The sequence below is a fragment of the Homo sapiens genome, chromosome 12, assembly GCF_000001405.40.
Source record: "Homo sapiens chromosome 12, GRCh38.p14 Primary Assembly".
In the NCBI taxonomy this organism is placed as follows: Eukaryota; Metazoa; Chordata; class Mammalia; order Primates; family Hominidae; genus Homo; species Homo sapiens.
Genome location: NC_000012.12, coordinates 127,257,201 through 127,284,507, shown reverse-complemented (window position 1 = coordinate 127,284,507; position 27,307 = coordinate 127,257,201). Strand labels below are relative to the sequence as shown.

Genomic DNA, 27,307 nt, shown 5'->3' with positions numbered 1-27,307 from the left:
CCTAAAGCGTGGTTGCTTCCAGCTTCAGAGTCTCATCCATTTTCCTGAGTGCCATTAAAATATTTTCATTTCTGCATGTGCCTTGGCCATGGAAGGGATAGGTCTCTCCTCTCCCAGTCTCCCTGACGGTTGCCAGGCACCTGTTTGTGTTTGAAATAGAAAAACACACAGGATTCCACACCAAGTGTTCTGCCTGAGCAGGGCACTGGCAACCGGGGTGGAGCTGCAAGAGCCTTTGGCCCCATGGAGGGACTGCTGGCTGCCGGCTTCTTCACTTCAGCTCCTTCTGGAGATGACCAAGTCTGTGGTGGTGCCTGAAGATTTAAGCAAGGCCCAGGTCATGCTGGGTTTCATGGGGAGATGATGGTATTGCGTTGTTTGTTTTCATAATAAGCAAGCAGGATGTGAAGAGGGGAAATGAAGTCATCAAAAGGTTTTTGTTCTTCCCAAATTGAAGAATAACAAAATCCGTGAAAATTACGAATTGATTTAAAAAGTCTAAAAAAACCTGAAGTCACCCCAGGTCTTCAAAACCTTAGAAACACTGAATTTGGCAGCAAACTATAAGAATTTGTTGGCTTATTTCTTTTCTTTCTCTTTCTCTTTCCTTCCTTCCTTCCTTCTTTCCTTCCTTCCTTCCTTCTTTCCTTCCTTCCTTCCTTCTTTTCTTCCTTTCTTCCTTCGTTTCTTCCCTCCTTGCTTTTTCTTTTCTTTTATTTTCTTCCTAAAGATAGAGCTACTCAAAAAATAACTAGAAAGAGAGAAACCCACTGATTGGATTCAAGGTGTGTTTATGGGTCAATGTGTGTTTAAGGCTGATATTCAAAAAGCAACATAGTCACTAGAAAATAGCAAAAGTTCTATCCTACAGGTTCATCAGGACAAAGACAAAAATTCCTTAAAATTATCTCAAAAGAGTGAAGAATATCAGAAAATGTTAACAGACTGGATAAAAATGTAGATATTCAGGAAAGTCTAAAACCATTCATAATAAGCTCAAAAATTAAAAGAAGAAATAAACAATCTCAATGAACCTAGTAAAGCCACATCCACAAGCATAGGCCAAGTCACACATGACAGAGAATGACAGATCTGATCCCTGTCTACAGCCAGGGAAGTCTGACACCCTCGCCTGGCCCCCTTCTTGATAGTAACACTGTGGGGGGCAGAGAGGGGTGACTTGGACTAGGATACGTAAAGTGAATCCGGAAAAGAGACAACCTGGATGATCAAGCAGGAACTGATTTAAAGGAATTGATGTCTGCTGCTAAGGTAGGTTATTTTTAAACCTCAGAAGAGGAAATTTAGGAAATGCATTACAGTTTTCTGAGCAAAATAAATGGACTACTTAGAGTTTGAACTAATAGTCTCTAAACCGAGAAAGCCCTTCACGGTTAGAAAATGCGCAGTCTGACAATGAGATCCAAGTGCTTCAACTGTCATGCATTTCAGCTGCCTGCACTTTTTCAAGGACATGCATTACAATTCCACAGAAAGTTCTCTGAGGAGCTAGAGATGGAGAAATAGCTTTCTATGGTATGTGAATATGTCACAAGAGAGGCAAGTGAATATTTGCCCTTTTCACATCCTCATCCTAGTCACTTCTTATCCACCACCGCCTCTGGCCCCACTGTCCTCTGCACCTGGTGTTATGAAGCACAGTGGGGAGCAGGTGAGGGATGGTACACTGTAGCCTCAGGTCCTATGGATGTGGGCTTGGATCCTGGCTGCTTACTATCCTCCCTGGCTGTGTGTCTCCAGATGAGTGATTTAACCTCTCGGCGCCCCAGTTTCTGCATCTGTAAAATAGAACAAATCAAAGCACCTCACTCATAAATACTATTGAGAAGCCTCAGTGAGATATTTCCCCTCAAGCACTGGCACAGCAAGGGAGTGTGGTGGACGTTTCATGAATGATGTTCCTCACTTTAATTTGAAGACTTAACATCCTCATTTCGCAGTTGAGGAAAGACAGGCTGAGAGGTTTGGCTGTTAGATCAACATCACACAGCTCAAGAGTGGTCGAGTTAGGATGTGGACTAAGTCACAGGTTACCAAGTGCCCTTCCAGGAGGTACTGTGGCCTTGCTCAGCCTAGAAGGGGTCCCAGGGAAGGAAGGAGGCATATTCCTGCTAACTATAGCCTGGAAACAAACAATACGGTGCAGTCTCCCCCACAAAACTTAAGTGTCAGAGCACAACCCCTGGTGACCAGAAAAGGCCTCGACTCAAGGTCCAGCTGACAGATGCCTCTGGTCACCTCTAACCCCACAGTGTTCAGTCTGAAATTCCAGCTGAAGGTACAAGTTTGAAGGTCATCATATCGCCCCACTACCTGTCAAGTTAAGCTGAACCCTGGGGCAGGAATGAGGACTGACTTTCCCAAGGTCATGCATGTGGTAATGGCTGAGCCTAGAGTCAAACCTGGACTTCGTGAATTCATATCCTCCTTTGGGGGTGATTTTGGGTTGGCAAGTCATGTGTGTGTGGGGGTCTCCTTCCTTCAGATCCATGCATCAGTGTGAATGACACTCTTCTAATAGATGACAAAGAACCAGACACCTGCCTTTTCACAGCTGGATGTGCCTCAGAACATGGCACACCCAAGACTCAGAGAGGCAAGCACCTTGCTTAAGGCCACACAGTGAGACAAGGACAGAGTCAGAATCTGAGCCTAGGCCTCCTGCCTTCCAGCCCAGGGCTCTTGGGGCCCCACAGCCTTCTGAGAATATCCTATGAGAAAGTTGGCTTTTCTTTTTCTTTCATGTAGGAAACAGAAAAACAGCCAGGAATCTTGAATGTTTATCTAAATATTCTGTTCACAAAAAAACATTTTAACCACATGGACTTGAATGGGCTTAAATTCAGTGGCACGGGGTGTAAATTCCACATAAATAAAAGCACTTTGGATTATTGAATAACTTTCAAGAATGTAAAGGGGCTGTGAGACCAAAAAGTTTGGGAACTGCTCTTCTAAGTAGAAAAAGCTTTTCTTTTCAGCTAAGCATCTAGAATGGCCAAACAGCCTGATGTATCAACACAATAATATAGTAAAAGTAGTAATAGTAATCATATAGTCATAGTCATAAAAATATAGTAATATTAATAATAATGAGTAGGCAGCTAAAAGTTGAGGATTTATCATGTAGCAGATACCTTGCTCTGTGTGCTACCTGCAGGTGCAGAATCTCATTTAATCCTCACTCCAACCCTGTGACTTAGGCGCGCTCATTATCCCCATTTTAGGGGTGGAGGGAACTGAGGTTCAGACCGTGAATTCCCTTGTCCACAATTGCACAGTGAAGGGCAGAGCTGAGATTCAAATTCAGGGATTCCTGACTCTAAGACATCCTGAGAAATGATTCTGCAACTATTACTGGACCCTTTGCAACACTGTCTCCCAAACTCCCTTAAACAAGCAAAAGCGCCCTCAGGATTTGTAAGAGGTGAAATGTCTTCCACCTGTGCACAGGGCAATCCTCCCTCCAGCCCTGCCCAGTGCCCAGGGGTTGGCAGAGTGGCTCCACCTACACCTGCACGGGTGGCCCCGCGCCTCTCACGCAAGTTCGGCTCCCGCTCCCTCCGGTCCCTGTGCAGAGCGCCCCCTGTCGGCCCCTCGTGGAGCCTGGGCCAGCGCAGCGAGTCTTTCCGCAGACACGCCCTCTAGCGCCGGCGGCTGGGAACGCACCGCGGTGCCGCCGGGTCCCGCAGGGGCGTGGCGCGCACCTGGGGATGCACCTGCACCAGGCCGCCTGCCCCCCTGCCGCGCGCGCCCCGTCCTTCCCTTTTTCACTTCTTTCCCTGTTTCTGTTTCCTCTCTCCATCCCCATATCCAATTAAATCAGTGGAAGCTCTCCCGAGGAAGAAGCGCGCAAGCACGTAGAACTCAGCAGGGCGTGGCAGGACCTCACTGGCCCCTCTGCTCTTCGTTCCTAGGCACCCCTCCCGGCAGTGGAGTGTCCTGGCAGAGCTTCCTGGTGGTAACGAGAGGACCAGCCATCAGAAATAGTGTTTTCGTTAGGTTATTGTTCTGTATTTCTATTCAGGGTCCCCTTCAAATAAGTAAAGAATTGCCAAAATCAGATGTCAAAATATGTGGTATGTATTAGCTGCTCACAATGAACAAATGAATGCTTTTAAACTGCAAACGTTCCGATGTTGAGATGAGTTGAGAATACTAATTTCAACGGGAGATTCGATCCTGTGATGGTCACATGTAGAGTGGCCGGGAAGGTGTTTTTGAGCAGCCTTTTCTGCATGACCCTTGTTTTGTTTTGAAACAGGGTCTCAGTTTGTCACCCAGGCTGGGGTGCAGTGATGGGATATCTGCCCAGTGTAGCCTCAACCTCCCGGGCTCAAGAGATCCTCCCACCTCACCCTCCCAAGTAGCTGGGACCACAGGCCTGAACCATCACACCCGGCTAGTTTTTGTAATTTTTTTTTTTTTTTGTAGAGATGGGATCTCGCTATGTTGCCCAGGCTGGTCTCGAACTCTTGGGCTTAGGTCATCCACTGCCTGCCTCAGCCTCCCAAAGTGCTGGGATTACAGATGTGAGCCACCATGCCGGGCCCCTGCATGACTGTTAGTGGACTTGTAGGCTCCCTCGGAGACAACATCAAAAGTGTAAATGTGGTGCAGGACCAGAAGCACCCCCTTCTGGGGTCTTTTGTGAATTTGAGGTCTGAGCTGGAACTCTACTTGCTGTCTCCAGCCAGTTTAATCACGGATGAAAATGTTGGGGTCTTGCCTCCCCTTGCTAGTGGGAACTCAGGGAGTGGTTATAAGAAGCTTCCCAAAAATGATGACAGTGACACAGCTGACTTTGCTTCAGGCTGGGTGCTCTGCCTAATGCCTCATCTGCGTGAATCCCTGTACCTTTCACAACGGTCTCTAGCAAGAGTTGCTCTTATTGATGAGGAAGCCAAAGGGCTGGGTGACGTAGACATATGCACAGAATCCTATTGCAGATGCTGTGGTGTGGGAGGACTCGGACCCACCTTTCTTACCCGGGAATAACCCTGCGACTCTGTAGGAGGATTGGAAGAACACAGCAGCTCACTGAGCTGCACTGTAATGTCTGAGCAGCTGGAATTCAGCCAGGGGGGGTGAATCCCCGTCCTAGAGCCGAGTGGAACCTGAAGCCTCTTACAATGGCCTGAAAAATGCCTCTCTTCTCCCAGAACAATTTCCTAAGATGTCAGCTTCTTGGGAGTAAAAAACAAAAACTGAGGCACAAAGCATGAGAAAGACTTATTCTACAGTAAGAAGATAATTGGCACCAACAGTAGCCACTAAGCTCATTTCTCCAAGTCTCCTGCTCTGGAAGTTTTATTGGTGAAGCCATCAGTCTTGTTACCACTCATAACACAGTACTGATGATCAGGCACTGTGTGTGTGTGTGTGTGTGTGCGCGCGCGCGCGTGTGTGTGTATTATTGTTCTAACATAATCACCTCTGGAAACATCTGTTGTTAAACACAGCACTGAATGCATACCTTGCTTGATTGGTTTCTGTTAATCGCATCCATAAATTATGCATTAAAGTGGATGCAGGAGCAGAGAGAATGAGGTGGGAGTTGGGGAATGGTGAGCCAGCCATCTCCCAAGTGAGTTGCTGAAACCTAGCCCATTCCCTTATGGGCTGATTCCTTTTTCCTTTCGTTTATGTTTTCCTCTTACTTCTCTGACTGATAAAAATCACAGAGAACAAACGAGCCACTAAGAATCCAGGGAAGACCAGATGCCAGGAAAATAGTTCCTTAATGTTCACTGTGATCTGTCCAGATCTGTCTAAACAGTGTGTCCTTAGCCCAGTGCTGAGGGTGCTGCTGGTCCTGAGACCTAAGCCATACTCCACTCTGAGCTCTGGGAGGCAAGCATCACAGAGGAACCTCAGTCTACTGGCATGACCCTGCTGGGTGGGAGCAGTCAGACCTGTGGAATCAGTCACATAGATTTCCATCTCAGCAGTCAGGGCCAAGGACCAAGGATGGGGCTCCCCGCATGGACGGCGCCAACCTCTCTGGGTCCTGCCTGCAGGAGATCCAGCCCCAATTTAGGACTTTCCCCCTGAAGCCAGTGCCCTACCTCCCCACTAATATCCCAGGCTCAAAAAAGAACCTCTGTACTTGCCCCTTCACATCCTCACCCCTCTCATTCCTCCTCTACCACATTCTCTGGCCCCATCAGTCTCTAAGGCCAGCTGGTGTTAACAGGCAGCCAAGGACTACCGGGTCCCCAAGTCCAATATGCATCTCACCTGGTTCCTCAGCAGCATCCCTGCCGGCCACCGCTCCTCCCCTGGAAGCCTGACTTCCTGTGGCTTTGGGACCCTACTGCCCTGGTTTCCTTTTGAGGTCCAGGTCACGTATCTGTGGTCTCAACTCTCATCCTCCCCACAGGACACAGATCACTGGGTTCCCTGGGGCTTCCCCAGGTCTCCCTTCTGCTCACAAACCCTCCTCCTGCCACGTCATCAAGGGCACTGGTGTTGGAGCTGGGCTGCTGAGTTCTGGCCCACCACCACCGCCCCACTCTCCACCAGGAGCCATGCAGGGCAACTTAGAGCTCAATCTAGTCATGTATCTCCCCGCATCCTCCCTGCAGCCACCTCACCCATCTCCAAGAGTTTAAGGTAAAATATTTTCATGATCTGTCTCTATTATCTCCTTCTTGCTCCCTGACTTTTCTTTCCAGCCAGACTGAAGTTTTCTCAGTCCCTCCCACAAGTGACTTTTTCCTATTTCTTCTGGGTCTTCTCACAGACGTCCCTTTAACAAGAAGGCATGCTCCCCACACCCCCACTCCTAAGGCCTTTTCATTAATCATGTCTCCTCTTAGACAAATCCATCTGTCTTGGAAACCCTTCCTGCTATCCATGCTTGAGTCATGTGATGTGTGTGTGTGTGTGTGTGTGTGTGTGTCAACACACACACATAGTTGACCCTTGACCAAAGTGAAGGTTAGGGGACTGACCCCTACCCAGTCCAAAATTCTTATAAAACTTTGGGCTCCCCCTAGACTTAACTACTGATAGCCTACTATTCACCAGAAGCCTTAAGGATAACATCAAAAGTCTGTTAACACATACTTTGTATGCTATATGTATGATATATGTATATATACATTTTTTGAGACAGGGTCTTGCTCTGTTGCCCAGGCTGGAGTGCAGTGGCACGATCTTAGCTCACTGCAACCTCCATCTCCTGGGTTCACACAATTCTTCCACCTCAGTCTCCTGAGTAGCTGAGATTACAAGCATGCACCATCCCCGCTGGCTAATATTTGTATGTTTAGTAGAGGGTTTCACCATGTTGGCTCAGCTGCTTTTGAACTCCTGGCCTCAAGTGATCTGCCTGCCTCAGCCTCCCAAACTGCTGGGATTACAGGCATGAGCTACTGTGCCTGGCTTTGATAAATTGTATTCTTAAAGTAATCTAGAGAAAAGAAAGAGTTATTAAGAAAATCGTAAGAAGGAGAAAATATGTTTCCTTTTCTTTTCTTTTCTTTTTTTTTATATGAAGTCTCACTCTTGTCACCCAGACTGGAGTGCAGTGGCGCGATCTCAGCTCACTACAGCCTCCTACTCCCTGGTTGAGTGATTCTCCTGCCTCAGCCTCCCGAGTAGCTGGGACTACAGGCATGCACCACCACGCCCAGCTAATTTTTGTATTTTTAGTAGAGACGGGGTTTCACCTTGTTGGCTAGGATGGTCTTGATCTCCTGACCTCGTGATCCGCCCACCTCCCAAAGTGCTGGGATTACAGGTGTGAGCCTTCGCACCCAGCTGAAAATATGTTTTCTATACAGTAAGTGGAAGTGGATCATCAGAAAGGTCTTCATCTTTATCGACTTCATATTGAGTAGACTGAGGGGGAGGAGGAAGAGGAGGAGTTGGTCTTACTGTTCAGGGGTTGCAGAGACAGAATAAAATCCACGGTCTGAGAGAACCCATGAGTTCAGACCCATGTAGTTCAATGGTCAGTTGTGTGTGTGTGTGTGTGTGTGTGTGTATATAATATGTAATATATACGTGTGTGTGTGTATTTCAGATATATATAGGCCTGTGAATATATATATGGTTATATATATGAGTATATACATATATGAGTATATATATATTCATGTGTACTTATGTGATACATATGTCCTATAACAATAACAATGGATGTGATATTCGATATAAAGCATCAATAGCTCTTATCTGTGGAGAGCCTTTGCAGGGATGCTGTATGTTCACAAACCCATTTCTTTCTTCTGTGCACACAGGTGGACTTCATTTCCCAGCCTCCTTTGTGGCTAGGTGTTGTCATGTGACTGCGTTCTAGCCAGTGGACAATGGTGTGAGTGATGCCTGCTATTTCTAGGCTTGGGTCCTAAAACTTTCCATGGGGCCACCCCCCACCCCATGCTTTACTGCCTCCTTGCCCTCTTCTCTTATCTATGGCTGGTGGGTGGAAGGAGCTTTCTTACCTCCCCAGAACCAGGAAGAAAGCAGCACCTCCCAAAACCCTCAGACTAGGAATAGTAACAGTGGACTAATGGGTGAATGAGACACAAACAAACCAAAACAAGTTTTATCGTATCGAGCCATTGTCATCTTGACGTTGTGAATACTAAGGTTTAGATTCCCTGACTAATACAATAGATTATCTTTGCTGCTATTTTAAGCACATTTCAAATAATTGATTCACTTAAATTTCACACCCCTCCTATGAGGTAGAAAATATGGTGCCTCTCATTTTATGGTGGAGAAACTGAGTCATGGAGAAGTGAAGACACCTGCCTGAGGTTCTGATGCCCGTCAATAGTGGGGCAGAGTACATGATTCAGAGCTAATGGTGCTTCCCTGTCTTGCTACACACTTTGCTCTTGCCATCGTATTGTTTTTTGCTCATTTTAATGACTTCCTATTTACTTCTGCATCTTATGCAGAGTATGAAGCCCTGAGGGCTGAGACCACATCTGCCTGGTTTTCTGTGGCAGCTGCAGCATCAACACTGGCTCTTCGAAGAGTAGCAGCTGATGAACATTACTCCGGCAAACAATTTTCTCTGCTAGGTGAGTGGTTCCAGAAGAATATCAGGGAATCTGCCTCTCCTTCTCTGAAAACTGCACAGAACAATGAGCGAAAATAAGGCTCTGTTTTGAAGGAAACTTTGTCATTTATCCATATCTGCGCATTGATACAGAAATCGGATTTTTTTCACCCTGAATTACTTTTCTAATTGTGCATTTCTTTACCTATGGTTAAGCATGCCATTTACAACTAGGGTTTTTTCCTTGGATTGGTATGCAAATCCACTTGATCTACATTGTAAGTTGGTTTTAAATTAATTTTTTTCATTGATATCTGGAATATTCAACTAAAAGATTCTAGTCTTGTTATTTCATACCCGTCTACTCCATTTGCCCAGAAGCAAGTGTGACAAAGAAGTAGAGTTTAATCATCTTATTAAATGATTGCTAGCCGGCTCCTTTACTTAACAGCTACTCTGGTCTTCTTAACAAGTTACTAATTTCATAGTAGGAATAGAGTTTTCAAATATATAACTAACGATTTGTCTACATTTAATTCTGTTTGACTTTTTCCAAAAGTATGAAGTTATATTTGTAAGAGCTTTGAGAGGACTTGGGCAATAATTTGATGTCTCCAAAAGATTCGGATGCTGTATTGCAATTAGATTATTTCCCTAGATTTGACATCCTCATTTAGGCTTCACGGTCATGTGCAACTTTCTAGTTAAAGTCACTTCCCTGTAACGTTCAGAATGATCAATATGAAGCCATCCCTTTATAAGAATCGTGCCCCACTGGACTGACTTATGCAGTTCCAAAGGAGGGGTTTTGGCTTGCTGCATAGGATTTTTCTGGAAATACTTCCAGGAAAAAAAAAGCATTTTGCCCACAGAAGTCACCCCCAAGATTATCTGTTAGAATCAGCTGTTTTATTCTGAAAATATTTATTGAATTTTATCTGTGTGCCAGGAACTGGATAAATGCAAAGGAAGGAGGGGAGAGTGTGTCAGACGGGGACCCTGCCCTACTGGAGCACACGCATCACCACCTGGGTTAGGACGGCCTCACCCGTCCCCTGGACCTTCACCTTATGTCCCAGAGAGGAGACATCTGCTAGAGCAAAGAAAATTCATTGTCATATAAAACAAACAAGAAAACACACACACACATGTGCACACACACATACAGAAAGCAAATAAAACATTGTTAGATGATGTAAATTGTCATATCAGTGTGTGCAGTGGTACCTATAAAACTGTTATGTGGCTGGGCGTGGTGGTTCATACCTGTAATTCCAGCACTATGGGAGGCCGAGGTGGGGAGATCACAAGGTCAAGTGATCAAGACCATCCTGGCCAACATGGTGAAACCCCGTCTCTACTAAAAATACAAAAATATTTAGTAGTAGGGTGTGGTGGCGTGCGCCTATAATTCCAGCTACTTGGAGACTGAGGCAGGAGAATCTCTTGAACCTGGGAGACGAAGGTTGCAGTTTGAGCTGAGATCATGCCACTGCACTCCAGCATGGTGACTCTGTCTCAAAAAAAAAAAATGTTATGTACACAGGCACAAAAACTCAGTAATTCCATTCTGATGAATCCATCCTAAACTACTAAAGCAGAACAGCACAAAGATGCATGCATGAGAGACAGTTAGGAGGGAGGGCTCAGGAGCCAGAAACACCTTAGTCTAAATCCTTGTTTGAGCAGAGGTTACCTGACTCACCATGTAAAAACCCTATGTCTGAGTCCCTGTAATCTCGCCAATAAAATGGGGAAAGTCATATTGCCAACTCCTAGGGTTTTGCACAGGTTAAGTACATTTTATGAGTGTGGTGAGCCGGAGCACCTCCTTATTAAGATTAACCCCACGTAGAGGGGAACATGTTTCCCCCACATATCTACAGCATCTGGTACAAATTTGTGGATGCCTTCAGATCACTGGGGCAATCATGTGCTTTCTGGACAGTGGCTCCTAAAAGCCAATATGGTCATTGCCCTGAGCTGTCACTGCACATGCAGACCAACCAGCCACATCGCCAGGGGCTTGCTGACATTACTGAACTTGGATACAACTCCACACCACCTGGAGAGTCTGGAGTATAATCAGGCATCCTCAGAAGCATAAAAAGAAGTGGGTTGTTGCAACCAGAAACTGTGCAGGGGTGACACCTTATGTGTAAACTCAACCAATGGGGAATAGCCAATAGAAAAAAGCCACCTTATTTTCCCCCATGACTTACTCCTTGTGACAGGATTTCCCCTTGAAGCCAGTCTGCAGAAGGCATTGGCGCCAAGTACCCTGGCCAGTGGCCCACTGTGTGTCACCACTAGTCATCATAAAACAGTAGATATCACAGGCCCTCATTCCTCAATGTGGCCTCACCTCTTCAACTTCCTATGTTCTCATCCCCATTGCTGTGGGCGTACAGCTCACCCAGGAGGCATTAGACTTACAAATCCTGGACTTCAGCTTGGTTGTGGCATGCATGACTTAATAGGAATGAGGAGAGAGAGAAGTGGATTGATCATGGGTTGAAGTAGTCAGAAAAGGCCTCATGCAGAAGTCAAGGACTAAGCAGGACTATGACAGACAGTCATAGGACAGGAAAGGCTCTAATCTTGGCAGAAGAAGAGCATGAGCATGGCACTGAGTCTTGAGTGAGCATGGTCAGATAACAGTACAAGCCACAAACCAATGACTATTGCAGGGAAGCAACAAGAAACAAAGCTGGGAGCTTTGAGGCAACAGGAGATGTTTTACTCCATGCTTGAGCCCTTCAGACAGCAGGGGTGAGGGTCATTGTGACATTGAGCAGGAGAGTAAAAGTACAAATGTCCTGTTTAGGAATATGAGTAGGCCCACCAAGTCAATGAATGGGATGATGGTGGTGGATTCTAGGGGAGAGATTCACAGCACTTGCTGGAGTCCCAGGAGAGTCCATGGTGGGGACTGGACAGGTGTGATGCTCCCAATTAAGTGGCTCTTCCCTGGTTTCTCTATTCTTCTTCAGAGACGGTTTTTCAGCTCAGCACTATTGACATATGGAGTGGATGATTCTTTGCTGTGGGGCTGCTCTGTGCAATGTAGCATGTTTCATCATGCTGGCTTCAACCCACTAGATGTCCTGCCACCAGCTGGGACAAAGAAAAATACCTCTGAAATTGTCAAATGCCCCCTGGGGGGACAACATTGCACCAGATTAAGAACCACGGCTTGGAGACATTTTTTTCTTCTCAAATCTTTCATTAGAACTTTGCACCTCTTTGCCCTGAGAGCCATAGCACCTTTTTTATTGGTCGTCGAGGACAGCGTGATGCAGGGAAGGAGCCCACACTCTGCATCCTCACATAGGCCTTAAGAATATCTCACTCTCCTCTTCTCCAGGAGGTGAGAAACCTTTGCTGTTCATTTTTCACAAAGAGGCCTCAGCCCAGAGCAGGATTGAGGGCCACGTGCAGAGATGAAGCACTGCGGTAGGCAGTGTTGAGGGAAGCAGGCAACAATGCTCTGTCATTGCCGTTGCGCTCCCTCACGTGCAGAGCTCCTTAGACTGTGACTGAGGAATAGCTGTGGGGCATTGAACCTGCTGTGCCATGACTCTGACCTAGTGATTAATGGAGCCCCACGATCTGCACATTTCACATTAGCAACACGCCTTCCATGGAGGTGCGACTCTTGACGGATGCATCTTGCTTTCTGAGGTGCGGGCTGGTCGCCCTGGAGTTAATGAGGTGGCGATACACAGCCTGACATTGTGATCATGGGACAAGACTCTGTCCTCATGAATGAAATGATTATTCATGTTTTGCTAATTATTAATTCAAATGTTAACTAGCACTAAACAGAAGCCTGTGCCATCTGGGGGGAAAAATTGTCTTTATTGCTGTTAGAGCAGAAATCCTGTTTGGTTTACTAAATATATATATATTTAGTATAATAATGTATATGTAGCACTATGTAGATATATGGTATAGTATATATATGCACACACTGATAGTATATATATATACATACAGCATGTGTATATATACTATTATACCATACTGTATATATAATATAGTATTTATACTATATATGCATGTTTTATTTATATATACATATATATACACACACACAGTATATATGTAGTATAAATACAGTCATTCATATATTTATACACATACTGGCTTCCAGATATTGTGATATTATACATCCCACATCCTGGAAGGGTTTTGATACTACAGAGACTCTTGTGGGTCGAATTGTAAATGGAAAGAGTTGGAAATTCCAGCCACAATCCAAGCTGGACACAACCCTCCTTGGGTGGTTGAAATAAAGAGACATTGAAATGGGCAAGACTTAGAGAGACGCAGGTAGAACTAAAGGAACACCCGAGAGCTGGCGAGACACTCAGAACCCAATAATAGTGGGAGGCCGTCACCACGTCTCGGGCTGCAGGGGCATGATGAGAATAGAGCATCCCTGCAGCCATACAAGGTCAATGGTTAATATCTTTTTCAAGACCTAATTTTAAAGGCCACTTCTCCAACTTTAAAGGAAACCGTAAGTAGCTCTTCCCACTGGCTACATAATCCATTTACATGATCCATTAATCTGATCAGGAGTGCTTCAGTTTACATTTTGCTAAAAAGGCTACGCAAAATGTTGTGACTTACAACAATTCTTTAAAGAGTGGCAGATTCAAGTACTTAGGTTGGATGGGTCATTCTTGTACTGGGTGCAGACACGCCACTCAAGCAGATAGTGGAGGGTTGGCAATCTGGGATATCCAAGACCTTCTTTCTCAGGTGTCAAACTTTTAGCGCTGTTGGTAGGGCTACCCCAAGCCTCCTTCATGCAGCCACTCATCTTCTAGTGGGCTGGACCCGCTTCCATGCATGGTGTTTTTGTTCTTAATTCTTGTTCTTGTTCTTGTTCTTTCTTATTCTTGGGGCTGTGTCCTAACAGGATGAAGGTGGAAACGGCAAGGTCTTGAGGCCAAGACTCTGGAAGTTGCACAATATCACCTCTGTTGCAACTCAGAGGACAGTTCAGACTAAAGACTTAGGGAATAGACTCCACCGCTGGATGGAGCAACATCAAAGTCACATGGCAAAGAAGCGTGCATATGGGGATGAGGGATTTGCTACCAGGAAGCTGACTACTGCAAGCAGTGAGCTTGGCCTCTATGGGGCAGGAAGCTGCTCCCAGTTATAAACCACTCTTGAGAATCAAATTCTTTGAGGTTTGTGCTTCCTCCTGGGCATGCCAAGCTACTTTGCTGTCATAGAATACTCCATGGCTATATGCTGTCCTGGGTCTGAATGTGTAAGACACTCCTTGGATTATGCCTGAGTATAAATTATTCCCCATGTATACATTTCAACCTGGTAGCATCAGCATAAAATACTTCCTGACAGGTGCTATTTCTCCAGTATTAGGTGTCCTCTAGAGATAATCTACTTCCTGGTCACATAGGTGTCTTCCCAATGTCCAAGCTACTCATCAGGAGAAAATATATATATATATATATATATATATTTATATATATACACACATATATTTACATATGTACATGTGTATATATGTGTACATAAAACATTGAAAATAGTTTATTTCTGAGCGTGTAAATAATCATATTTCCTAGAAGTTTGCTACTCCTTCAACAGAAGATGCTCCCTGAGCATGGGCTAACTTTGTTGCTGTTTGTGATGTATGTGTGTGTGTGTGTGTGTGTGTGTGTGTGTGTGTGTGGTTTCCTTGAAGGTTTATTTTACCCTTTTAGTTTTAAACTCATGTATAATATAAATACAGAAGAATACACATAAAGTAAGTGTATGACATGCTTAATTTTCAACAAGGAGATACTTTGATTCCATTAGCACCGAAAGAAAGAAAAGAAATCAACGCACCTCTGAAACCCCCTTGTACCCCTTTTCATTCACTAACCCCCTCTGCAAGTAACTACTAATTTGATATATAAAAACATAGGTTAGTTTTGGTTATTTTAGAACTCATACAAATGGAACCACACAGCATATAGCCTTTTGTGTTGGTTTCTGCTACTCAACATGACTTTTGCAAAAGGCATCTGTAATGTTGCATATATTTGCATTTCACTCATTTGCATTGCTGTTTTATTTCACTGTGAGAAAATGCCACCGCTTATCTGTCCATTTTATGCCTAATGAATCTTTGTGTGGTTTTCAGGTTGTGAGACATTCTAGTACACTTCCATTGCCGGACATGTGCATGTATAATTTAGTATGCTATTTCCAGAGTATTAAAAATTCACTGGGAGAGTTCACTTCCAGGCTCATAAGCATAAATACTCCCTAGACACTTGCTACTTCTCGAGCACGATATATCCCTTGGCCTAAGCTATTACTGGGATAATTAAGCCCAATAATAAGCTTTGGATGTGCTGTTTTTGAATATAAGGTATGCCCTTGTTACATGCTCCTTTCAGGATATATGTCTACTCCGAAAGTAAGCTCCTTCCTGAATATGCACCCTAATTCTGGGTCTCTGCTTGAGTGACAGATAATCTATGGGTGTGTGCTGCTTTTTGGGCAAATAGGTTTCTTCCCAGATGTGAGGCACTCCAGGGCAGAGGGTGAGGGAGTCTCTGAATGACCTTGGTGTCAGACACTTTCCCACTGGATACTGTCATTGGTGATATCTGTCAGACCATCTGCTGAATCTCATCCTCTGGAAGCTTAGTGCTCTTGGGATTCACTCTTGGAATTCCTCACCTCCTGAAAAACGTGTTTGTTCTACAAGCATCTTTTTCATGTTATTCAGCACAGCAGAGGCCATCTCAGGAAGATCCACACTTTATGCAGAAGCAGATCTAATCCTTGACTTGTTTTCCCTCAGCCCATGGGGCAGATGCCACTGCAGATGGGCACTCACGGGGATGGGTGATGGGGAGATAAACCGTTCATCAGGCACCTTGACTGTGGGACTACAGTTCAAGATTCCCAGGAGAACCTTAATGAGCCACGGTCACTGGAAATCAATGATGATAATGATGATGATATGCTCTCTGTTAATGAGCATGAGAATTTCCCACCATATGTCAGCAGACAAATTGCATTTAGCAGCTGGTATGTGATCAGCATTTACGGAGGAGGAAATGTGTTCATCTAATATTTGGACTTGCAGTCTGACCATGATAAAAACTCACTTCCTATTACCTAATTCCCATTTACAAACCCATATTTAGCTCATAGAACGGGATTCTGTGGGCACTGCTATTCATGTCGACATTCGATGATAAGCACGATATCAATTCCAGTATTTTTCCTTGACTGGCATGACTGCTAGTATTGCCAGAAAAAGAGTAAAGATAATTTGTTTCGGCTGGTCGCAGAGTCAACTATGACTTGGATTTGCTTTATATTCTTATACTCTGGGCGTCTTTTTGTTGTCGTTGTTGTTTGAGACAAGTTTCTTGCTCTGTTGTTCAGGCTGGAGGATCTTGGCTCACTGAAACCTCTGCCTCCCGGGTTCAAGAGATTCTCATACCTCGGCATCTCCAGCAGCTGGGATTACAGGCAAGCACCACCATGCTCGGCGAATTTTTGTATTTTTTTGATCCACCCGCCTCAGCCTCCCAATGTGCTGGGATTACAGGCATGAGCCACCATGTCTGGTCGACTCTGGACTTCTTAATGGTGACTTATTTTCTTTGTGGCGATGAGAAAACTATAAATTGGGGGCCAGTATCTGACCCTGACCTATGCTGCTAACTTACTGTGTGAGCTCAGGCATGTTGCAATTCTTCTCTGGGCTTGGATGTGCACTTGCTGGTATGTTTGGAACCTAGCACTCTACGAAATTATTCCCATTAGTTCTCTAATCCCAAAGTCGACTCTCAGTTCTCATCTTCCTTTAACATGCATTGCACTTGGTGGAACCCTCCACCTTCCTTGAAACACCTGGCTTCTAGAGAGTCACAGGTTCCTGGCTTTCCATCTGCCCCACTGAGAGCCCTCTCTCATTCATTCGACATGACTGACTGCTCTTGGTGTCCCTGGCTTGTGGACTGGGTCAATGCTCAGTCCTCAGACTTGTCTTCCAGTCCCATATTTGTCCTTTTGGTGGCTTGTAGTATTCCATGACTTTACATGTCACCGGTTCTCTGAAGAGTCCTGAACATACATGCCCAGCTAGATTCTCCATCCTGAACTCACCTCAAACATTACGTCATCACCCATCCTGCAATTATAGCTGCCAATTCCACCACTACCCTCATCTGTTCTGCCAACAGCCTTCTCCGTGTATTCAGGTCTTCAATCTTGAGGTCATGCTTGGTGCTGCTTTCTCTCTCCCACCAGCCCAATCCATCAGGGACATTCATAGGCCCTATGATGAGAATGTATCTGAACATGGACCACTCTTCGCCGTTTCACGACTGCCACCCTGATCCAGGTCCCCTGTCCTCTCTCTGAGTTCATTACATCAGCTTCCCCTCTGGAATCCCTGCTTCTTCTTGTGCCACCTACAGAAGCTGAAATAAGCATTTCAAATTACGATCTAGATGATGCCACTCTCTTCAAAGCCCTCTAATCAGTTCCCACCTCATTCAGAATAAAAAACAAAATCTCTACACCATCTGGCTCTCTCTCTCTCCTGTTTTCTTTCTTTCCTTCCTTCCCTCCATTCATTCACTGCACTCCGGCAGTGCAGCTCCGACTGCTGTTCCTTGAACGTGCCCCACAGCCTCCCTGCCCAGGGCTTCCGCATGAGCTCTTCCCTCTTCCTGGGATGCCCTCCGACCCCCTAAGAAATTGCAGGACTTACATCCTGACCTTGTTCTGGAATTTTTTTTTTCTTTTTAGTGTCTTCTACTTTCTCAGTGAGTCTTGCTATCCTTTCATCCCTTCAAAAAGAATTCCTACTTTGCTTCCCGGATGCTGAGTTGACCATAGCATGCATCACTATCTGATCAGTTACATGCTTAACCCACATATGTGTTTACCATCTGAATGTCAGCTCCATGTGGGCAGAAATGCCTTATCTGTTTTGTTTTCAACTTTATCCTAAAATAGTGCCCGACCCATCGCAGGTACATGAAAATGTGAGAATCACATTAATTGGTGCTAACTGTTTGGTTGGGCTGAGGACCTTTCTGTCTTCCCAGTTATGTAACTGATGTTAAGAAGACATTTAGCTGAGACGACAATAATGGTAGAATATGAAATAAAATAAAGATAATTTCAGCCCAATAGCTGGCTGGATGACTTTGTATCCGTGAGAGAACAACTGGTTTCCCTGAGCTTTTTACCGAAATTCCTGTTGGCTGTCTCTGCTAGATGCCACCTCAACGGTCACAAGTTGTAGGTCAGGGTCATGGCACTCGCAGCTGAATCCTGCAGAGTTTCCATGGAAATGGCATCACATGATATTCCATTTCACACAACTGCATATATGTAAGTATGTATTGTGGCATTATTATATAGATAATAAATAGACATGATATATCTAATATATATTAATATATGACATATATTACATATAAAATATTATGTATCATTGATATAGAAATATAAAATACATCTTTATAAATATATCTTAATATAAAATATATTCTACATATTAATATATATTAACCTCTTCTAGATGTCACCTGAAAGGTCTTAAATTATAGATCAGTGTTATAGCACTCAGAGCTGGATCCTGTAGAGCAGAAGGGTCCTATCTTTTGGCTTCCCAGGGCCACATTAGAAGAATTGTCTTGGGCAACACATAAAATACACTAACACTAACAATAGCTGATGAGCTAAAAAGAAAAATTCCAAAAAATCTCATAATGCCTTAAGAAAGTTTACAGATTTGTGTTGGGGCACATTTAAAGCCATCCTGGGTCTCATGCAGGCCACAGGCTATGGTTTGGACAAGCTTGCTCTAGAATTTCCATGGCAATGGCATCATATGATACCCAATTTCACATAATCATATATATGTGTATATATATATATATATATATATTCTGGTGTCTTTATATATGATATATAATATAGATAACACATGATATATGATATATATCATATATTAATATTACTAGCTATAAATATATATATTAATATATATTAATATATAAATGATATGTAATATATTAATGTATATTATATAGTATTGTATTATTATATATTATATATATAAATATAAAACATCACCACAATACATATATGCACATGTGTTTACCTTCAAGGTTCCTGGCTCCTAACTCCCATAGTCCCTATTAGTCTTTTCTCATGACGTTGGATATGTCAGGCCTCATGAGCAGACCTCAGTAAGTAGACTTTCTCCAGCTTTCTCCTGCCCTCTTTTCACCTGTCCGAAGGCAAAATTCTAATCATCCTCTTCTGTCCCTAGTGAGGTTCATAAAGACCCTCTCCAGAGAGGGCCCCACCTTGTACCCTAAGGGAAGGAATGCTGACCTCACCAGGCTTCCATCAAAACCCAAGAGGACTGGGCTCAGGGAGCTTCCTGATAGCCGAACACGTGGAGGTTCCTGGAGCGTGGCGCCCAAGGAGGGCATGGAAGCTCTCTATCCCTTCCCCCATACCTTGCCCTAGCATCTCTTCATCTTCATCCTTTGCAGTGTCCTTTATAATACGCTGGTAAACATAAGAATTTCTCTTCAGTCTTCTGAGCGGCTCCAGCAAATCAATGAAAACCAAAGAGCGGCTCATAGGGCTCCCAGCTTGAAGCTGGTCTTTCAGAAGCTCTGGAGGCCCAGACTTGTGACTGGTGGGAAGGAGGGGTGGTCTTGTGGGACTGAGTCCTTGACCTGTGGAATCTGACACTATCTCCAGGTAGATAGTGTTGGAATTTAATGAACGCTATCTGGAAGTGTCCCATTTGGAGCCCAACCAAACAATAAGCATTAATTTATTCAATTCTCACATTTGTGCATATCTACTATGGGTTGGGCGCTATTCTAGGATGAAACAGAGACACTGGGGGGTACCTAGCTGTTGTCCGCTGCTTGTTGGTGGGAAAAAATCCAACACATTTGGTTACAGAAGCCTCCTGGGTTGATTGAAGTGTGGTAGCAGAGGAAAAACATGATTTGAGAATTTTCCAAAACATGTATGTATATGTATCCATATATAGAGACAGAGATTGAAAGAGAGTGCAATTAGTCATTTATATTTAGAAAAAAATAAAACGAGGTTGGTTTTGGTGTGTGCAGTTTGTATGTTAAGGCCTTCATTCATTTAACAGACAGTTATTGAGCATCTGTTGCGAGTCAAGCACTGTTTTAGGTACCAGGAATAGAGTAAACAGAGAGGCAAAATTATTGTCTTCAGAAGTTACACCCTAGTGGGGCAAAAAAGATTGAAAGCATATACAGAAAATCATAGCATAATATGATTTCAAAGGCTGATGGCTGCTAAGCATAAAATAAAGCAGGACTGTGAGGTAGAGAGTGAGGGACTGGGGTGGGGGCTTTGATCTAGAAGAGCCAAGGCGGCCCCACTGTGGAGCGTGGAGGGCGAAGAGCATGGCGAGCCAAGGCTCTGAGGGGAAAATGGGCTTGGTGTGTTCCAGAGACAGAAAGAGGCCTGGAGCAGTTGTGAGCTAGGAGAGGGGAAAGGACTCCATTTAAATCAAAAACAGATTTGCCGTTTGTTGGACCAGATATTTTAAGTGTGAATAGGGACGGTGCATGACCTCAGCTGATGAAGGGATAGCTTAGTAATGAGTAGGGAGTAGAAAAATCAGGAGGTCTGCTGGAGTGTTTATCCAGGACAGGGAAAAATAACCAACAGTTAATACATTTAAAAGGAATACTGGGGCCACAGGCGGTCGCTCATGCCTGTAATCTCAGCATTCTGGGAGGCTGACGCGGGAGGATTGCTTGAACTCAGTAGTTTGAGACCAGTCTAGGCAACATGGCGAAAACTGTCTCTATAAAAAATAGCAGGTGTGGTGGCAAACGCCTGTAGTTCCAGCTACGTAGAAGGCTGAGGATTGGGATGATTGCTTGAGACCTGGAGGTTGAGGCCGCAGTGAGCCATGATCACACCACTGATCTCCAGACTGGGCAACACAGCAAGACCCTGTCTCAATCAATCAATCAGTCAATGGAATATTGGGAGACAAAAGTTAAGCTGTGTTTTCATAACAAGCCGATATCAAGAACCATGAGGGGTCTAGAATTTTACACCACTTGTAAGCTAATAAAATAAGCTATTAATAGTGTCATGGATTCCAGCAGAAGACATGAGACTCCAGAGTCAGAGGCAAAGGATTTTGTTATTCACAGTACAAAAGGCAGCTTTGAGCTTCATGAGGTTCTGTCAGTTTCCAATGCCTCCAGGTCCACCTGGGACCACACAAAGGTCAGTTCCCAGGCAAGTGATGCTCATGCAGTGGTTTATGTCCCAGCTGAGGAACATAGACTTGGGAAACGTACTACTTTTACAGTGAGCAGTAAAGAAGTCTGCTTCTTCTGTAGAAGAAGACATTGCCTCATCTCTCAAGGTGGCTCACGGAAAACACAAGCTTGAGAGATGGCCTGAACAAAAAGCATTTGTGCCTTACATTCTCAGAATGCCCAGGAAGAATGCACAGGGGCACTCAGGATGATTGACCCATGGATGATTGACCTTCCCCATAGCTACAAGTTCAACATGTTGGGTGCAGGCAGAATGGAGAGATTGGAGGTGACATTGCACAATGGAAAATGTCACAGTTGTGAAATCATTCTGCATGTTTTCTTCACTGATGCATCCCACCCATGGGGCTTCCCATCCCAGTGAGGTTGCAGCAGTGCTGAGACTGGGTTCTGTCTTCTCTGTAGACTTCATAATCCCAGGAACCACAAACCCAAGGAGGATGCCCTGGGTCCAAGTAGGAGATGATTGACCTTAGCAGGTGCTTATTTTGGACAGTGTGTCACACACCTGAGCTCATTTGCTCTTTCTGTGACTCCCAGCATCAGATAGAATAAGCATCATCTCTTTATAGGTAGGGAAACAGCAGGTAGAACTTAAGCAGTCCCATAAGTTGGGAACAAATCTGGGGCCTGGACTTAGGTCTTAAGACTCCAAGGTCACCTCTCATGTCACTGATTTCAAATTGATGTCCCATTGCTGCCCTTGGCATGTGAAGAATGAGGCCACCATGGCTGTGAAATTAAGAGCAACCAAGAAGTCCAACCTCACTCTTTGTGCCATCCATGAGATGCCATGGCTGGGGAAGGACTGCAGTTGTTTCAAGCGTGCAAATTAAATAAATCCTCAAAGTCAATCCCATGAGTTTGAAACACCGCATTCAGCTGATAAAGCAGATGTGAATGCCATTATCTCACCCCCAGAAAGGGATTTGGAAAAAGAGGCCTTGCAGCAAGGAAAGGGACTTGGGAAATTAAAATATGTCATCAGGTTTTGAAACCATAAAGGAAAATACTGACACTCCACACTAGTACCATTTCTCCCCAGCCATATTTTTAACTGTGGCATGTTCAGTATGACCCAGGTTTTGTGAAGAAGGAGATCCCAATGAGGTCATTATAATAGGCCAGCAGGGAAAGCTTTGGAACTAGTTCTTAATTCACTAAGCTTTTATTTAAATTGGGTGAACATGCTTTTTAATGTCACTGTCAAACTTCCAGATGATGACCAACAAGTTTACTTCCTGTGGAATGCCTGGTGCTACTGGGTCTGTCAGTTGACTCCCCATTATTAGAGGAAAAACACACGCTGAAAATATTGTGGGGTGACTATCAGCTGTTCTCCTGAAAAATAACGCAGCATCTGCAAAGCATCATTTTCCACCTAGTTTGACATTAAGCATTATTGCAAACACTATAGGCATCTACATTCTGGCTCATTTAATTTCTCTGCATCATATCCTCTAAACCTTTTATGCAGAGATTGTTTAATAGAATCTCTAATTGTTATCAGGCAGTGAAATCAAGGCAGGTGCATCTTGCAGGGAATACTGAGGCCATCAAAGGTGCAGGACCAGAACCTGCAGAGGCACAGGGGATCTAACTCAGAAAACATCTGCACACTTTGATTCAGCCTGGGGTTAAGAAAAAATGGAGAGCCCTGAGCTGGAAAAGAATCATGCACATTCGCAGTCTGCTGAGGGGACTTGGGATTTTTTACGTGGTCATTCTTCGGGCTGACAAAAAGTCCCGTAACTTTTGTATCTTCCACGTGAGATTTTCCAATAGATTGTGGGTTTGGGTAATTGCTTCTCTCATAGGAGATAGAAATAAATCAGCATGACTCTCTCTTCTCTATAATCCAAGTCCGTGTCTCTGTGGTTTTAGCTACGTTTGACATTCTTTCTTTATTGAATGTATCTACCCCATAATTCTGGGTCAGATCACTGAACTATGAATAGAGGCTTGGAATGCACCTACTCCCTCTCCTGAGTTGGTGTCATGAGAACATACAGCAACATTTGCAAAAACTTGCGCAGATGAGGTGAAGTGTTTGGAAACTGCACTGGTGAAGGAGGAGTGGTTGTGCTGAGGTTAAAGTCACGCCTAAGCAATGTAGGCAGTGTCTACCTTTCAGATTGAGGGACCCTGAGAAGGGTGCATTCAAGCTCAGACTCCACTCCCGTATCATGATTCTTCCTTCCCAGACAGACAAAGAAGTCTGGGAAAATGGAAACCTCTCTTTTTAGAGTCTGTTGTAGAATGTGGATAAGGTTCCCAACCATCCCAGTTGGCTGCTGTCTGGGGGAGTTTGCAGAACATGAGGCTTCACGTATAAAACCAGCATGTTACTGAGCAAAGCAGGATGAGTCAGTTACCCCAACATCGAGACAGCATCCTCACCATTCCTTTGCATTTGTCATATCCACTTACCCTACATATAATTACATACTATTTTAAACTCATTTAACATTTTTTCTTTAATAGAAGTTGCTTCTTTACTGCTTTACATCACTTCCATAAGTGGAAGCTAAACAGAAATACATACTACAAATTTTTAGAAATGTGGCAGAATTTTTCTGCTGCCCACCTAGATGCCTTCTCATTTCATGCCAATCCTAGATTTGTGTTGAGGCCTCAAGAGATGAAGAGGAATAAGTCAACGGCAGTCCCACATCTTTGCTAGTTTGGGGTCTAGGTGTCAGCACGAAACCCAGTACTGGCCTTCACACCTCAGAGGAATTTAGAAATGGGGCTTTTGGGAAAATAAATTCCCAAAAAGTTATGGCTTTTAAGACAAAAACAAAACAAAACATTTTTGAGATCTGCCCGTCACTCTTTTTGTTTGTAGGCTAAATGTATGAGGATATGAGGCATGAAGGCGGGGAAGCGACCTTGTGATCACACAAGAATATCCAAGGGACTCCCTGATTCACACCCACATCCCTGAGATCTTGGAGCTATGGAGCTAGCCCCAGAGAGAGACCACCTGGAAACCACTAAGGGCTCTGCTCCTGCTCTCTTTGTTGAAAGGATATAGTAGAAAGTTTTTAGGACCAGGTGTGGTGGCTCACACCTGTAATCCCAGCACTTTGGGAGGCCAAAGCAGGTGGGTCGCTTGAGGTCAAGAGTTCAAGACCAGCCTGGCCAACATAGTGAAACCCTGTCTGTACTAAAAATACAAAAAGTAGCTGGGCATGGTGATGCACGCTCATAGTCCCAGCTACTCAGGAGGCTGAGGCAGGAGGATCACTTGAACCCAGGAGGTGGAGGTTGCAGTGAGCCGAGATCATGCCACTGCATTCCAGCCTGGGTGACAGAGTGAGACTCTGTCTCAAAAAAAAGAAATAAATCATAGGCTCCCAAGCCACAACACCAGGAACTGGGCATCTGGTGCCTCTGAGGAAGACCAAAGGGATATCATCCCACCAGAAAAAAGCTAAGGGAGCAAGGCCTTGGGACCACTGCCTCCCAGCTGTGAGACTCCATCTCAAAAAAATAAAAAAAAGGAAGTTTTAAATTGTTAAAGATGATCAAGACAGATGTCTTGTTCTCTGAAATAACAAAAATAATTGAAAGAAAACTCAAAAAGAAAACACAGGCATACCTCATTTTACTGTGCGTCATTTTATTGTGCTTGCAGATACTGTGTTTTTTACTCGAAGAACTGGCAGCCCTGCATCAAGCAATGGATTCCATTTTTCCAACAGCATGTTCTCAATTCATTAGCAGTTTTTGGCAATAAAATATTTTTACTCAAGGTATGTACTTTTTTTTAATACATAATGCCATTGCACACTTAATAGATCAAAGTATAATGTCAACATAACTTTTGCAAGCACTGGTGATATGGTTTGGCTGTGTCCCCACCCAAATCTCGTCTTGAACTGTAGTTCCCCGTAGTCCCCACATGTCATGGGAGGGACCCGGTGGGAGGTAATTGAATCATGGGAACAGTTACCTCCATTCTGTTCTTGTGATAGTGAGTGAATTCTCAAGAGATCTGATGGTTTTATAAGGGGCCTTTCTCCTTTTGCTTCACAATTCTCCTTGCTGCTGCCATGTGAAGAAGGACGGTTTGCTTTCCCCTCCACCGTGATTTTAAGTTGCCTGAGGCGTCCGCTGCCCTGTGGAACTGTGGGCCAATTAAACCTCTTTCCTTATTGAATTACCAAGACCTTCATCGCAGTGTGGGAATGGACTAATACAACTGGGAAATAAAAAATTTCCATTGTTCTCTTTATTGCAATATTAGCTTTATTGCAGTGGTCCAGAACCAAACCCAAAATATCTTTGAGACGTGACTGAAACATTTCTCACTATGTGAGCCTATGTTGTGTAAAGCTGTGTTTGGCAACCACCTAAAATCAAATTATACATCTCCAGGGCCTCCCTGTACACTTCCAATAACACTGTTCTAATATATTGAGTATAAAATCAATTTTATGCCACTAAGAACATTTCAAATAGGTATACTGAAGCAGAAATGTTTTTCATTGACAGAAACATTGCAGTTACACACCATGACTTTCATTTTTTTAATGGAGGCCCAATCCAGTGATCGCCAGTGTAGACACATTATACCAGAAGAGAGATATCAGTATCTGTATCAATTGGCCTATTGATCAATTATATATCTATCTCAGTTCATGAGTTCATGACTTCCTCTGCTATTTTAATCCTAAGTTGAAGGCAAGAGATAAAACTATTTTGAATTATGGCTTTGAATATACTAGCTTCTTTTCAGAAACAATAGTATTTGATGCATGAAAGAATGGGAAATACCAATATAGTATTTTAAAGTTTTCCATTAATTTTGCCCTAAAAATTAATCTTGATTCAACCTCAGTTTTCCCTTAGGTCCCAGATTGTCCTGGAAATCTTCTTGCTCACTATTTTATATTCAGCAGTTTTTAATTTTCAGTCATTTAAAAAATTATCTTTTATTAATTTCATGTTGTCAAAATATTTGTATTATTATTTATGTGATATATTATTTAAGTTAACCTCTATGGGTAATAAGAACATTCAAAAAGGAAATAATATAAACTTACCATAGAGGACAATTATGAAAATAAGTGTCGTGAAATGGAACATTGCAATTCCTTGTTGTTACCTGTATAAAGCCTTGAGCTTAGGTGGGCCTCCTTTCTCTTAAAAAGGCTGAAAGTGTTAGACATTACAGTCTCAAAAACGAATAGATTTTTCTCTGTGATGCAATCTGAAGAGCTCAAAAAGAATTGGAAAGGAAACGAGTTAGTCACTATGATATTTAAATTTATTTGATTTCCTTTACATAACACTGAGCCATCTGTCTCATCATGGAAAATTATCTCATTTCCTCCCTGAGAGGGCTGCTTTGTTGATGACTCTCTTGGAAGGCCACCCACAGCCATTCATTATTTTGTTCTGACATCTGATGGGCAGCATATTGTCCCTTATCCAGACTCAGGGCACAGATCCTGATTGGTTCAGGTCAGTCACAGAAATTCTGTGAGGATATGCCCATTTCACATAAGCCTGTGATTGGTTTGGTCTGAGTCATGTGACCTGCATCTGGCCATTGAGATCTAAGACTACGTCTTATGGGGATTTCAGAGAAACACTTTCCTCCTTCATACAAATAATATTAAGCCAGAATGGCCTCTTTTTGTCCCTTTCTTCTCATCCTGCGCTGGGGGCTGTCCAGTGAAAACGTGGTATTTAAAACTATGAGGGCCATCTCCCAATTATAAAATAACCGTACTACAGAAAAAAAGACAAATACGTTAACGATACGGGGTTTTCATGACCAACTATCACTGAGTGTAGCCCAAACTGATGACAATAAATAACAAGAAAGTCCTCATCCTTTAAGGGATCATTAGCTAAATTTTCTGTTGTTGTAGCCAACCAC

The 27,307-nt window shown here is 43.8% G+C and overlaps 1 long non-coding RNA gene across 1 annotated transcript, besides 1 other annotated feature; it reads left to right on the top strand.

Moving 5' to 3' along the window:
* The first annotated feature begins 224 nt into the window (after positions 1-224).
* Positions 225-10,237, top strand: LINC02376 (long intergenic non-protein coding RNA 2376). The gene is made up of 4 exons (NR_146537.1): positions 225-366; positions 872-1,272; positions 8,934-9,059; positions 9,987-10,237. It is a non-coding gene; the product is annotated as a long intergenic non-protein coding RNA 2376 (long non-coding RNA).
* Positions 3,574-3,633: a silencer, noted in NCBI's record as "silent region_5085". NCBI's record gives its function as "represses an Ori minimal core promoter by ATAC-STARR-seq in GM12878 lymphoblastoid cells {active_cell/tissue: GM12878}" and the evidence as "EXISTENCE:reporter gene assay evidence [ECO:0000049][PMID:35858748]".
* Positions 10,238-27,307: the final 17,070 nt, after the last annotated feature.